General features: G+C 39.9%; 1 protein-coding gene and 1 pseudogene across 8 annotated transcripts in view; one reads left to right on the top strand and one right to left on the bottom strand.

Annotated features, from left to right (window-relative positions):
• The window catches only part of INO80D (INO80 complex subunit D), a 92,454-nt gene that overhangs the window by 37,627 nt on the left and 39,980 nt on the right, over window positions 1-14,847 (bottom strand). The gene's annotated exons all lie outside the window — the stretch shown is intronic.
• Window positions 9,042-9,530, top strand: RPL27P8 (ribosomal protein L27 pseudogene 8; annotated as a pseudogene).

The following is a 14,847-nucleotide window of genomic DNA, read 5'->3' on the forward strand; positions in this document are numbered from 1 at the left end:
TGACTCAATGACTTAGAATATGCATAACTAGGAAAACAGAAGTCTCATTCATAGAAAAAGGAAATGGAGAGGAAAGGCAGATCTTAAAGGGAAGGTAAAGCTTGGGTCGATAATCAGTTGCCAAAACTGTTATTTTAAAAAGATGCACCTGCGCCCCTGCCACCGCTATCACCACCTCAGTGTCCCTTGGCTCCAGTCCCACTCTTAGGACAGCACCGCCACTGCTGCATGGCCCTGCCTGCCTCCTGTGCTGCGCAGCACTTGCGGGTGCCCCAGATGGCACTTTACCCCTAGGACTGGCTTAAAATAGTGGAGTGATCATCATGGCCGATGAGAGGCAGGACTGGATTGCAGCTCCAACTCGGACAGACAGAGCAGAGTGCCGAGGCTTGCATAGTGAATTTTATCTCCAGAACAACTGCAAGAACAAACCAGGAATCCCGAGAGGACCTACAGACCCTCTGAAGGAAGTGGACTGCTCCTGCAGGATCCGGAGACACTCCAAATACCGTGAGTGCCCAAACTGCGGAAGTAGGAAAGGGAGATTCTCCGTTTCGAACACACACCGCTGCTGGGGAAACTGAAGGTCTAGTTTGCAGGAGAAGTTTCCGACCTTACCTGGAGCTGAGTCAATTTAGAGAGCTGAGCAAAATAACAGGGGTAGAGAAAGCAGCAGGAAACGCTCTGGGAGCTCACTGGGTCCCCAAGCAGGTCATTCCTGCCTGGCATCACAGAGATCTTTCGGGAGGGCAGCCAGAGGCATGGGGAAAATGCCACAGGGAGAAGGAAATCTCCAGCTGAACTTTGTAACAATTTGAACCTGGCGAGAAGCCTCCTGGCCAGAATGTGGGGAAGGCCACAAATCGTCTGTGCAGACTCCACAGGTGGGGAAAGAACCAAAGCCCCTCTCTTTTGCAGCTGGGAGGCAGGTAGCCTCGGACAAGTTCTCAAGCCCTGCTCACCCACTGCCTGGAAACAGACTGGGGCTATTAGGTGGGGCATGGTGGGAGTGAAACCAGCCCCTCAGATTGTGTGGGAGCTGGGTGAGGCCTATGACTGCCGGATTTCCCCCACTTCTCTGACAACCTGTGTGATTCAGCAGAGGCAGCCATAATCCTCCTAAATACACAACTCCATTGATCTGGGAGCCTTTGCCTAGACACATTGTCATTAGGTTATCCAAAGTTAAGACGAAGGAAAGAATCTTAAGAGCTGTGAGACAGAAGCACCAGATAACCTATAAAGAAAACCTGTGAGATTAACAGCAGATTTCTCAAGAGAAACCCTACAAGCTAGAAGGGATTGGGGCCCTATCTTCAGCCTCCTTAAACAAAACAATTATCAGCCAAGAATTTTGTATCAAGCAAAACTAAGCATCATATATGAAGGAAAGATACAGTCGTTTTTCAGACAAACAAATGCTGAGAGAATTCACCATGACCAAACCACCACTACAAGAACTGCTAAAAGGAGCTCTAAATCTTGAAACAAATCCAGGAAACACATCAAAACAGAATCTTTTTAAAGCATAAATTATACAGGACCTATAAAACAAAAATACAAGTTAGAAAGTGAAACAAAAAACAAAAGTACACAGGCAACAAAGAGCACAATGAAAGCAACGGTACCTCATATTTCAATACTAACATTGAATGTAAATGACCTAAATGCTCCACTTAAAAGATACAGAACCACAGAATGGATAAGAACCCACCAACCAACTATCTGCTGCCTTCAGGAGACTCACCTAACATATAAGGACTCACATAAACTTAAAGGCACAGAAAAAGGCATTCCATGCAAATGGACACCAAAAGCAAGTAGGGGTAGCTATTCTTATATCAGACAAAACAAACTTTAAAGTAACAGCAGTTAAAACAGACAAAGAGGGATATTATATAATAGTAAAAGGCCTTGTCCAGCAACCACAGAATAAACACTCTATTCAACAGTGCATGGAACTTTCTCCAAGATAGACCATATGCTAGACCACAAAATGAGCCTCAATAAATTTAGGAAAATTGAAATTATATCAAGTATCTCTCAGACTACAGTGGAATAAAACTGGGAATCAACTCCAAAACAAACCTTCAAAACCATCCAAATACATGGAAATTAAATAACCTGCCCCTGAAAGAGCTTTGGGTCAAAAACACAATCAAGATGGAAAATTAAAAATTCTTCAGATTGAATGACAATAATGACACAACCTATGAAAACCTCTTGGATACAGCAAAGGCAGTGCTAAGAGGAAAGTTCATAGCCCTAAACGCCTACATCAAAAAGACTGAAAAAGCACAAACTGACATTCTAAGGTCACACCTCAAGGAAGTAGAGAAACAAGAAGAAACTAAACCCAAACCCAGCAGAAGAAAGGAAATAACCAATATCAGAGTAGAACTAAATGAAATTGAAACAAACAAACAAAAAAATACAAAAGATAAATGAAACAAAAAGCTGGTTCTTTGAAAAGACACATACAATTGATAGGCCATTAGCAAGATTAACCAAGAAAAGAAGAGAGAAAATCCAAATAACCTCAATAAGAAACAAAACAGGAGATGTTACAACTGATACTACTGAAATACAAAAGATCATTCAAGGCTACTATGAACACCTTTATGTACATAAACTGGAAAACCTAGAAGAGATGGATAAATGGATAAATTCCTGGAAAAATATAACCCTCCTAGCTTAAATCAAGAATTAGATAACCTGAACAGACCAACAACAAGCAGCATGATTGAAATGGTAATTTAAAAATTACCAACAAAAATCAGTCCAGGATCAGACTTATTCACAGCAGAATTCTACCAGACATTCAAAGAAGAATTGATACCAATCCTTTTGACACTATTCCACAAGATAGAGAAAGAAGGAATCCTCCCTACTTCATTCTATGAAGCCAGCATCACCCTAATACCAAAACCAGGACATAACCAAAAAAGAAAACCACAGACCGATATCCCTGATGAACATAGATGGTAAAACCCTTAACAAAATATTACCTAACCGAATCCAACAACTTATCAAAAAGATAATTCACCATGATCAAGTGGGTTTCATACCAGGGATGCAGAGATGGTTTAACATAAGCAAGTCAAGAAATGCAATATACCACATAAACAGAATCAAAAATAAAAATCACATGATCATCTCAATAGATGCAGAAAAAGCATTTGACAAAATCCAGCACCTCTTTATGATTAAAACTTTCAGCAAAATTGGCATACAAGGGACATACCTCAATATAATAAAAGCCATCTATAACAAACCCACAGCCAACATAATACTGAATGGGGAAAAGTTGAAAGCATTCCCTCTGAGAACTGGAACAAGACAAGGATGCCCACTCTCACCACTCCTCTTCAACATAGTACTGGAAGTCCTAGCCAGAGCAATTAGATAAGAGAAAGAAATAAAGGGCATCCAAATCAGTAAAGAGGAAGTCAAACTGTCACTGTTTGCTGATGATCTGATCGTTTACCCTTGAAAACCATTAAGACTCCAGAAAGCTCCTAGAACTGATAAAAGAATTCAGTAAAGTGTCCGGATACAAGGTTAATATACACCAATCAGTAGCTCTTCTATACACCAACAGCAACCAAAATCAAGAACTCAATCCCTTTTACAATAGCTGCAAAAGAAAAATAATAATAATAAAATACTTAGGAATATACCTAACAAAGGAGGCGAAAGACCTCTACAAGGAAAACTACAAAACACTGCTGAAAGAAATCATGGATGACACGAACAAATGGAAACACATCCCATGCTCATGGACAGGTAGAATCAATATTGTGAAAATGACCATACTGCCAAAAGTAATCTACAAGTTCAACATAATCCCCATCAAAATACCACCTCATTCTTCACAAAATTAGAAAAAACAATTCTAAAATTCATAAGGAACCAAAAAGCAGCCCACATAGCCAACACAAGACTAAGCAAAAAGAACAAATCTGGAGGCAACACACTACCTGATTTCAAACTATACTATAAGGCCACAGTCACCAAAAAAGCATGGTATTGGTATAAAAATGGGCACACAGACCAACGGGACAGAATAGAGAACCCAGAAATAAACTCAAATACTTACATCCAACTAATCTTTGACAAAGCAAACAAAAACAAAGTGGAAAAAGAACACCCTTTCAACAAATGGTGCTGGGATAATTGGCTAGCCACATGTAGGAGAATGAAACCGGATCCTCTCACCTTATACAAAAATCAACTCAAGGTCAATTAAGGACTTAAATCTAACACCTGAAACTATAAAAATTCTAATACTGGAAAAACCTTCCTAGACATTGGCTTAGGCAAGGAGTTCATGACCAAGAACCCAAAAGCAAATGCAGTAAAAACAAAGATAAATAGCTGGGACGTAATTAAACTAAAGAGCTTTTGCACAGCAAAAGGAACAGTCAGCAGAGTAAACAGACAACCCACAGAGTGGGAGAAACTCTTCACAATCTATTCATCTGACAAACGACTAATATCCAGAATCCACAACGAACCCAGACAAATCAGTAAGAAGAAAACAAACAATCCCAATAAAAAGTGGGCTACGGACATGAATAGACAATTCCCAAAAGAAGATAAACAAATGGGCAACAAACATATGAAAAAATGCTCAACATCACTAATTGCAAATTTGATTTGCAGGGAAATGCAAATCAAAACCACAATGCAATACCATCTTACTCCTGCAAGAATGGCCATAATCAAAAAATCAAAAATCAGTAGATGTTGGCATGGATGTGGTGATCAGGGAACACTTCTACACTGCTGGTGGGAATGTAAACTAGTACAGCCACTATGGAAAACAGTGTGGAGATTCCTTAAAGAACTAAAAGTAGAACTACCATTTGATCCAGCAATCCCACTACCGGGTACCCACCCAGAGGAAAAGAAGTCATTATGCAAAAAAGATACTTGCACACACATTTATAGTAGCACAATTCGCAACTGCAAAATCATGGAACCAACCCAAATGCCCATCAGTCAACGAGTGGATAAAGAAACTGTGGTATATGATGGAATACTACTCAGCCATAAAAAGGAATGAATTAATGGCATTTGCAGTGACCTGGATGAGATTGGAGACTATTATTCTAAGTGAAGTAACTCAGAAATGGAAAACCAAACATCCTATGTTCTCACTGATATGTGGGAGCTAAGCTATGAGGACCCAAAGGCATAAGCAAGATACACTGGACTTTGGGGACTTGGGGGGAAGGGTGGAAGGGGAGCAAGGGATAAAAGACTACAAATAGGGTGCAGTGAATACTGATCTCACAAATCACCACTGAAGAGCTTATTCATGTAACCAAATACCACCTGTACCCCAATAACCTATGGAAAACTGAAAAAATAAAAAAGATGCTATTACTGCAGAATGGAAGGACTAAATCAGTGCTTCTCAAGTTAAGTGTGGAAAGACGCACTTGGATGCTGAGGCACGTTACATGATTATACGATTTTCTAAAGCTTATTCATAATTTCCATACTTATTTTATCACAGACCAGTAACAAGCAGTTTGCAGACTGACACAGGTCCACAGACCATCCCTTGCAAGGACATAATTTAGAACATCTTCAGGATGCTTCCCACTTCTAAGATCAAGGACATTAATATTTCAAACCTGGTTGCTGATGAAGAGTAGAGAATTGAGAAGAGAAAGGCCAGTTTCCCTTCATTTAGCAGTGACAAAACCTGGCACCTAGTGCATTCTCAGTTTGTGTTTGTTTCCTTCCTTCTTTCTTTCCATATCTGTGAAATGAGAGATACACCTGGCCTACCTCCCAAGGTTGTTTACAAAAAAGGAAAGAAATGATACCTGTGAAGTAACAATATAAATACAGATATTGTTATTACTAAGATGCTATTAATAACCCAAATACAGAGCAGCAAATTCTACACTTGATATTCTAAGATTCCAGGCTTGTCCATAATCTCAAGGCATGCCATGAACTTCTCCAAGGGAAATTCATTTTAATTTACTTTATTAAGACAACCAAACAGCAAAATGGTAATACCTCTAATAAAAACAGGAGAATCAGAAAGAGGCATACATATTAAGAAAAATAATGAGTTTAGTTTTAGAAATGCTGAATTTAAGGTATTGACCAAATACGTGATGAGAAATATCCAACGAGCAATTCAAACTCAAAAGAATCATTAGACATGAGTAAAAGATTTGGGAGTCATTCACAAAAAGATAACAAGTAAACCCAGTTAGAATGGCTATCATTAAAAAGACACTGTTGGTGGGAATGTAATTAGTACAGCCTCTATGGAAAACAGTATAAAGATTTCTCAAAGAAGTAAAAATAGAACTATAGAACTTCCATTCAACCCAGCAATCCCATTACCAGGTATCTACTTAAAGGAAAGTAAGTCAATGTATCAAAATGATACCGGCACTCATATGTTGATAACAGCACTATTCAGAATAACAAAGAATGGAATCAACCTAAGTGTCCATCAGTGGACAAATGGATAAAGAAAATGTGTTGTATGTATACATAATGGAATGCTATTTAGCCAAAATAAAAAAAGAATAAAATCATGTCTTTTGCAGCAACATGTATAGAATTAGGGGCTTATTATAAGTGAAACAAGCCAGGCACAGAAAGACAAGTATCACATGTTCTCACTCATAAGTGGGTACTAAAAAACATGTTCACATAGACGTAGAGAATGGAGTGATAGACGATGAAGACTCAGAAGGGTGACGGGGTGGAAGAGCGGAGGATAATGAGAAATTGGTTAACAGGCACAATGTATGTCATTCATGTGATTGGTACCCTAAAAGCCCTGACTTGATCACTACACAATCTATGCATAACAAAACTGCATGTGTACCCCATAAATGTGTACAAATAATATGGAAATAAAATTACTAGTCATCTGTTGTATTCTATTTTGATCTGTGTATTAGAATATTTGTGGTATAAAGATGAATAAATTGTGTTCTTTGACCTTGAGGGTAAAAAGAGGTACCTGATAAAACTTTTAAAAGAAACACTTAACAGCATATGGTAGTTTAGATACTCTAACAGAACTTGTTGCCATTCTAAAGCAACAATATACTAGGTAAAATATATGAATGCATTGTTGGTCCCAATAGGAAGTAGAGGAGATCTCTTCCCCTAACTGCTCATCAAAAAGTAAATAAACAATAAATAGAAAAAACTTGGGCCAGGCACAGTGGCTCACGCTTGTAATCCTAACACTTTGGGAGACCGAGGTGGGAGGATAGCTTAAACCCAGGAGTTCGAAAGTGGCCTGGGCAACATGGTGAAACCCATCTCTACAACAAAATGCAAAAATATAGCCAGGCGTGCTGGTACACGCCTGTAATCCCAGCTACTCGGGAGGCTGAGGTTGCAGGATGGCTTGAGCCTGGAAGGTCATTCCAGCCTGGGTGACAGAGTGAGACCCTGTCTCAGAAAACAAACAAACAAATGAACTCAAAACTGAAGCTAAAGTTAGAAGCAGAGAAAAAAAGAGAGGAGGTAGGCTGATTTCAGAGTACTTGCTGATATAAAGTATCATCCAAACAAGATAATGTAGCTAAATTTGAGTTTCCAGGGTAAGTCCAGAACCTATAAAACCAAAGATTACCATGCAAATGAGTAGGTAAGCCACTTTGTGTGACAAAAAGAAAAAACACATTAAATGATAGACTCATACTTACAAAGACCCCGAAGGTGGGACTTACGACATACAGAATATAAAAGTTGTGTAAGAAAGGTATAAAGGGGCTGGGGGCGGTACCTCACCCCGGTAATCCCAGCACTTTGGGAGGCCAAGGCGGGCAGATCACCTGAGGTCGGGAGTTCAAGACCATCCTGACCAACATGGAAAAACCCCGTCTCTACTAAAAATACGAAATTAGCCAGGCGTGGTGGCGCATGCCTGTAATCCCACCTACTCGGGAGGCTGAGGCAAGAGAATCACTTGAACCCAGGAGGCAGACATTGCGGTGAGCCGAGATTGCGCCATTGTACTCCGGCCTGGGCAACAAAAGCAAAACGAAAGTCCATCTCAAAAACAAAACAAAAAAGAAACATATAAACGATGTTCCTGCTATAGCTTAGGCTCTTGGTTCTGGGCTTAGTGGCATGGTTCCAGAATTTTATTTAATAAATAAACTCTTACAAATAAAAAATTATTTGCTGGGTGCAGTGGCTCACGCCTATAATCGCAGCACTTTGGGAGGCTGAGGTGGGGGATCACCTGAGGTTGGGAGTTCGAGACCAGCCTGACCAACATGTAGAAAGCCCCTCTCTACTAAAAATACAAAATTAGCTGGGCGTGGTGGCGCATGCCTGTAATCCCAGCTACTCGGGAGGCTGAGGCAGAAGAATCACTTGAACCCAGGAGGTGGAGGTTGCAGTGAGCCGAGATTGCACCACTACACTCCAGCCTGGGCAACAGAGTGAGCCTCTGTCTCCAAAAAAAAAAAAAAAAAAGAAAGAAAGAAAGAAAAAATATTATAATGGAATGTTATTTTTAAAAACTGTATGCCAAAAACTTAGATAAAAAATGGACAAGTTCCTAGAGAGGCACAAGCTTCTGAATCTAACTCAAGAAAAAACATGAATAAACATACGACAAAGAGTAATCACAAAACTTCCCACAAAAAAAAGCCCAGGCCCAGGCGCGGTGACTCACACCTGTAATCCCAGCACTTTGGGAGGCCAAGGTAGGCAGATTACTTGAGGTCAGGAGTTGAAGACCAGCCTGGCCAACATGGTAAAACCTCATTTCTACTAAAAATACAAAAATTAGCCGGGCGTAGTGGTGCATGCCTGTAATCCCAGCTACTCAGGAAACTGACACAGGAGAATTGCTTGAACTCAGGAGGTTTAGTGAGCCTAAATCTCACCACTGCACTCCAGCCTGGGTGACAGAGTGCGACTCTGTCTCAAAAAAAAAAAAAAAAAAAGCCCAAGACCAGATGGCTTCACTAGTGAATTATACTAAAACATTTAAAGAATAACTAACATGTTAGACGTAAATGCAATAATAGCCTTCCTTCCTTTTTGTTGTAGCCCTCGGTGGTTGCTGTCAAAATGGGCAAGTGCATGAAACCTGGGAAAGTGGTGCTGGTCCTGGCCAGCAGTATTCTGGCTGAACACAAAGCTGTCATCGTAAAGAACATTAATGATGGCACCTCAGACTGCCCCTACATCCAAGCTCTCGTGGTTGGAATTGATCGCTATCCCTGCAAAGTGACAGCTGCCATGGGCAAAAAGAAGATTACCAGGAGGTCAAAGATCGAGTCTTTTGTGAAGGTTTATAACTACAATCATCTTACGCCTACAGTGCACTCTGTGGATATCCTCTTACACAAAACTGTCATCCACAAGGATGTCTTCAGAGATCCTGCTCTTAAACACAAGTCCCAATGGGAGGCCAAGGTCAAGCTCAAAGAGAGATACAAAACGGGCAAGAACAAGCAGTTCTTCCAGAAGCTACAGTTTTAGATGTTTTGTTTCCATCTTAAAAATTAAATAAATAAATGCAGTAATATAAATAATAACATTAAATTCAAATGGTCTAAACACTCCAAATAAAAAGCAGACACTGTCAGAGTAGATAAATGAAATGAGTAGGAATGAAAGGACACTGTTATACGTTCTTATGCGTGAAGTGGTTTAACACTTGAAGGTAGACTGTGGTAATTAAAGATGTATGATATAAACCCTACAACAGCTACTACAAAAACAAAGCATATGAGTACAGCTAATAAGCTATGAAAAGAGATAAAATACAACCATAATAAAACAGGGAGAAAAGAACAAAGAATAGGTGAGACAAATACAAAAGACAGTAAATTTAAACCCAATAAATATCAATAATCATATTAAATTTAAGTTGTCTAAATACTCCAAATAAAAAGCAGAGATTGTCAGAAGAGATAGAAAAGCAAGACCCAGTAATACATTGCCAGTAAGAAACTCACTTTAAATATAAAGATGCAAATAGGTTAGAAGCAAAAGGACTGAAAAAGATACCAAGCTTTCACTAATCAAAAGAACGATGGAGTGGCTATGTTAATGCCACATAAGGAAAGATCTCAAAGCAAACACTGTTACTGGGATATAGAGGACCATTTTATAATAATAAAAGGCCACTTCATCAAAACAATCTTAAACAATTATGCATCTAATAACAGAAATACAAAGTGTGGGAAATAAACAATGACAGATCCAAAAGGAGAAATAATCAAATTTACAAAGAGATATTTCAAGATCCTTTTCTCAGTAATTGATATAACAAGTTGACAAACATCACCACAGATGTAGAAGACATGAACAACACTATTAACCAACTTGACCTAATTTACATTTATAGAATACTATATTCAAATGTGGTTTGTGATCACAGAATTAAACTAGAAATCAGTATCTGGGAAACCCCAAAATACTCAAAAACTAAGTATCATTTCTAAATAGCCCATAGATCAAACAAGAAATCAAAAGAGATATTACAAAGTATTTTGGGGCTGGGCATGGTGGCTCATGTCTGTAATCATAGCACTTTGGGAGGCCAAGGTGGGAGGATCACTTGAGCCCAGGAGTTTGGGACCCCATCTTTACAAGAAAATAAAAAAATTAAAATTAGCCAGGTGTGGTAGCACACGCCTATGATCTCAGTCACTCAGGAAGCTGACATGGGTGGATCTCTTAAGCCAGGAGGTCAAGGCTGCAGTTGAGCCGTAATCATGCCACTGCACTCCAGCCTGGATGACAGAGTGAAACCTTGTCTCAAAAAAAAGTATTTTTAACTGAATAAAAATGAAAATGTATTAAAATTTGTGGGACACAGCTACAACCAGTGTTTAGAGGGAAGTGTATAACATGAAGAGTCAATATTAGAAAACAATAAAGATCTCAGTCAACTGACTTAAGCTGTCACCTTAAAAACTACAAAAAGACAAGCAAATTGCATTCAAAACAAGCAGAAGGAAATAATGGGAATTAGAACACAAAGCAATGAAATTAAAAACAATAAAGAGAATCAAAGAAACCAAAAGCAATATTAAAAGGTGGCTCACGCCTGTAATCCTAGCACTTTGGGAGGCGGAGGCAGGTGGATCACCTGAGGTCAGGAGTTTGAGACCAGCCTGGCCAACATGGTGAAACCCTGTCTCTACTAAAAATAGAAAAGTTAGCCAGGCGTGGTGGCTGGCGCCTGTAATCCTGCTACTCGGGAGGCTGAGGCTGGAGAATCACTTGAACTCGGGGGGCGGAGGTTGCAGTGAGCCAAAATCGTGCCATTGCACTCCAGCTTGTACGACAGAGCGAGACTTTGTCTCAAAAAAAAAAAAAAGCCTTTAGGGCTGGGTACAGCAGCTCACGCCTGTAATCCCAATACTTCGGAAGGTCAACGCAGGAGGACTCCTTGAAGCAAGGAGTTTGAGACCAGCATTGGCAACATAGTAAGAGCCTATCTCTACAAAAATTTAAAATGGTGGCCTGCACCTGTTGTCCCAGCTACTCAGGAGGCTGAGGCAGGAGGATCACTTGAGCCCAGGAAGTCAAGGCTGCAGTGAACTATGATCTCACCACTGCACTCCCGCCTGGGTGATAGGGTAAGACCCTGACTCAAAACAAACAAACAAACAAATTCCTTATGGCACAATCCTGCATTACCAAAAAATTCACAAAAAGATTCTTTAGGCACAAATTTGGTGGCCAGACAACTGTCAGTTTTCTTTTAAAAACTCAATGAACTTATTGAGGCATTTGGCATGGCAACACCCTCTTGAAGATATAATGAACAGCCTAGGTAGGGCCAATTTTCTTTTCTTTCCTTTTCTTTTTTGAGACAGACTCTCACTCTGTTGCCCAGGCTAGGGTGCAGTGGCACAATCTCGGCTCACTGCAACCTCTGCCTCCCGCGTTCAAGCAATTCTTCTGCCTCAGCCTCCTGAGTAGCTGGGATTACAGGTGTGCACCACCACACCCGATTAATTTTTGTGTTTTTAGTAGAGATGGGGTTTCACCATGTTGGTAAGGCTGGTCTCGAACTCCTGACCTCATGATCCGCCCACTTCGGCCTCCCAAAGTGCTGGGATTACAGGCGTGAACTACCGTGCTCAGCCAGGTAGGGCCAATTTTCATTTCTTTTCCTTTTTTTTGAGATGGAGTCTCGCTCTGTCATCCAGGCTGGAGTGCAGTGGCACGATCTCGGCTCACTGCAAGCTCCGCCTCCCAGGTTCACGCCATTCTCCTGCCTCAGCCTCCCAAGTAGCTGGGACTACAGGCACCCGCCACCAGGCCCAGCTAATTTTTTCTATTTTTAGTAGAGACGGGGTTTCACCGCGTTAGCCAGGATGGTCTCAATCTCCTGACCTTGTGATCCGCCTGCCTCGGCCTCCCAAAGTGCTGGGATTACAGGCGTGACGACTGTGCCTGGCCGAGGTAGGGCCAATTTTCTACAGCTCCCCATTTTCTACTACACTGAAACACAGCAAGGTACAACAAATGACAGGTAGCTGCAACAAGAAATTGGAATAAAGATGGAAGTTTAAAATGCAGGACAGGTCAGGCATGGTCGCTCATGCCTATAATCCTGACACTTTGGGAGGCTAAGGCAGGAAGATCCCTTCAGACCAGGAGTTCCAGACCAGCCTGGGTAAACATAACAGGACCCCATCTCTACAAAAAACTTAAAAATTAGCCAAATGTGGTGGTGCACACCTGTAGTTCCAGCTACTCGGGAGGCTGTGGCAGGAGGATTGTTTGAGCCTGGGAGTTCAAGACTGCAGTGAGCTGTGATCATGCCACTGCACTCTACTGTGGGCAACAGCAAGACTCTCGTCTCAAAGAATTAATTAATTAATTAATTAAAATACAGGACAGAGATTCCTCTTAGAGGGCAGAGTGGCAGATACAAATGTGGAGTTACAGGAATAGATGGGTGGGTAAACCAACATGTTTGCCCAACATTAAAAATATACAGTGCTCCCTGACTGGAGCATAATAGCCCAACAAGAAAGTGCTGAATAAGTAAATGAACAAATGAATGAAAAATGAATGACTGAGTGAAGGAAAAGAATGAAGGGGAAAAGATGGAAACAGCAGCTGGGCAAGAAGTAAGGATAAATACCTGTTAAAAAAAAAAAAAAAAAAAGGAGGAAAACAGAGTAAAGGAAAAGAACCAGGGGAGCAGAGTATCGTAGTAATCAAAGAGGAAGCAAGTTATGAAAGTGGCCAAGAAAGTAACATGCTACAGAGATAAAGAAAAATGAGGATGGCCACAAATCTGAAACAACAAAAGAAGTATTTTGATAACTCTGCAAGAATAGAAGGCAGAATAGAATACACATTGTTCCTAATCAATAGCATATACTCCCTATACTGATGTCAAGGTTACCTTAAGAATTAAATTAAGAATGATAACTACCATTTATTAATAATTTCCCATGTACCAGGTTTTGGCTGGATTTGTAAAATTAACCCAAAATATCACAAGTCAAATTAAGCTGATACGAATTACCATTAGGAAGTATGACTGATGGTATCTATAACTAAAAAGCTTAAGCTCAATTGACTCTATTGTGCTGTATCTGAAAGAACCTGCTAATGGTAAGGTAAGGAAACAGTCTTGAATGACATATAAAATGGAACCTCAGTGTAAGAAAAAAAGGTATAACATTCTCCAATACTATCTAGGGGGTAAGTGAGGAACAACTGGGTGGGAGATAAATCCAAAGAGTGGAATAGATACATCATGCTATTATAATTTAAGACAGTGACCACTAATAAAATCCAACTAACCCTACTTGCTCTAATTCCATGTCCAAATAAGCTTCTGATGATAATTTGCTTCCTGTGTAGTTTTGTTTAGTGACCATTTGTACTATTTGATGATTGTATTTCTCATTATAAGCTGGCATTTTAGTGTACAGATTAGTCTCTAGTGAATCAGTTCCCTAAGCCTAATCACCTCTAGGTATACTAACAAATCACATTTTTAATCCTATAAACTCAAAAACCATCACAGATAGCTGATCTCCCTCTACATTGCTGAATATCTATTCAAACCACAACATTTTAAATAAATGGTTAGCTGAGTAAGTGAGTCATCTTTTGGTAGACAAGGATCTATCTTGGTATTGTCAAACTGTACCAAGTGAATCTGTAGAATGCTAAAAGGAGTCTCCTAAAAAAATTCATTTTCTTACTATCATTGAAGAGGATGTGCATTCAACTTCTACAGATCTTAGACAAACACTTCTTTTCCGAAGACATAACATGGGGAAAAAAACTGAAGAGAGCTGTCAGTATACCCCGACAGCTTTCCAATAAGGAAGGTACAAAGAAAACCCCTCAGGAGATCTAGCCTAAAAAAAAAAAAAATTGTAGCACAGTAGAAATAAAGAATGGATCAATGTTGCAGAAGATAGAGGTGAAGTAAAAAAGCACTATTTCTACTACTGTGGAGATGTACAGCCAAGGAAGATACAGAGAGGCAAGATAGTGGGACTCCACGTAGCCCCCCAAGGGACCACGTGCAAGTTCCTCAACCTATGTGGGCCTTGCTTTCCTCTTCTGTAAAATGAGGAAATTGGATCAATTAATCTCTAAGGTTCTTTTCAATTCTAGGTTCTATTATAATTAATTCCTTTAATGATGAATGGGAAAGGTACAGAAGCAAATTTACCAAGAAAATTTAAGAGTAGCTTTGCTCAAACGATATAGTACATTTACAAACAATATAGTACATTTACTCCCAAGTGGAATCTATTTTACCACCAATTTTTTAGAGTGAAGTCTTTTTTTACCTTTATTTTACAATAAAACTAGATCTAATAACATAAAAGT

The sequence above is a fragment of the Homo sapiens genome, chromosome 2 (genome assembly GCF_000001405.40).
Source record: "Homo sapiens chromosome 2, GRCh38.p14 Primary Assembly".
NCBI classification, from domain to species: Eukaryota; Metazoa; Chordata; class Mammalia; order Primates; family Hominidae; genus Homo; species Homo sapiens.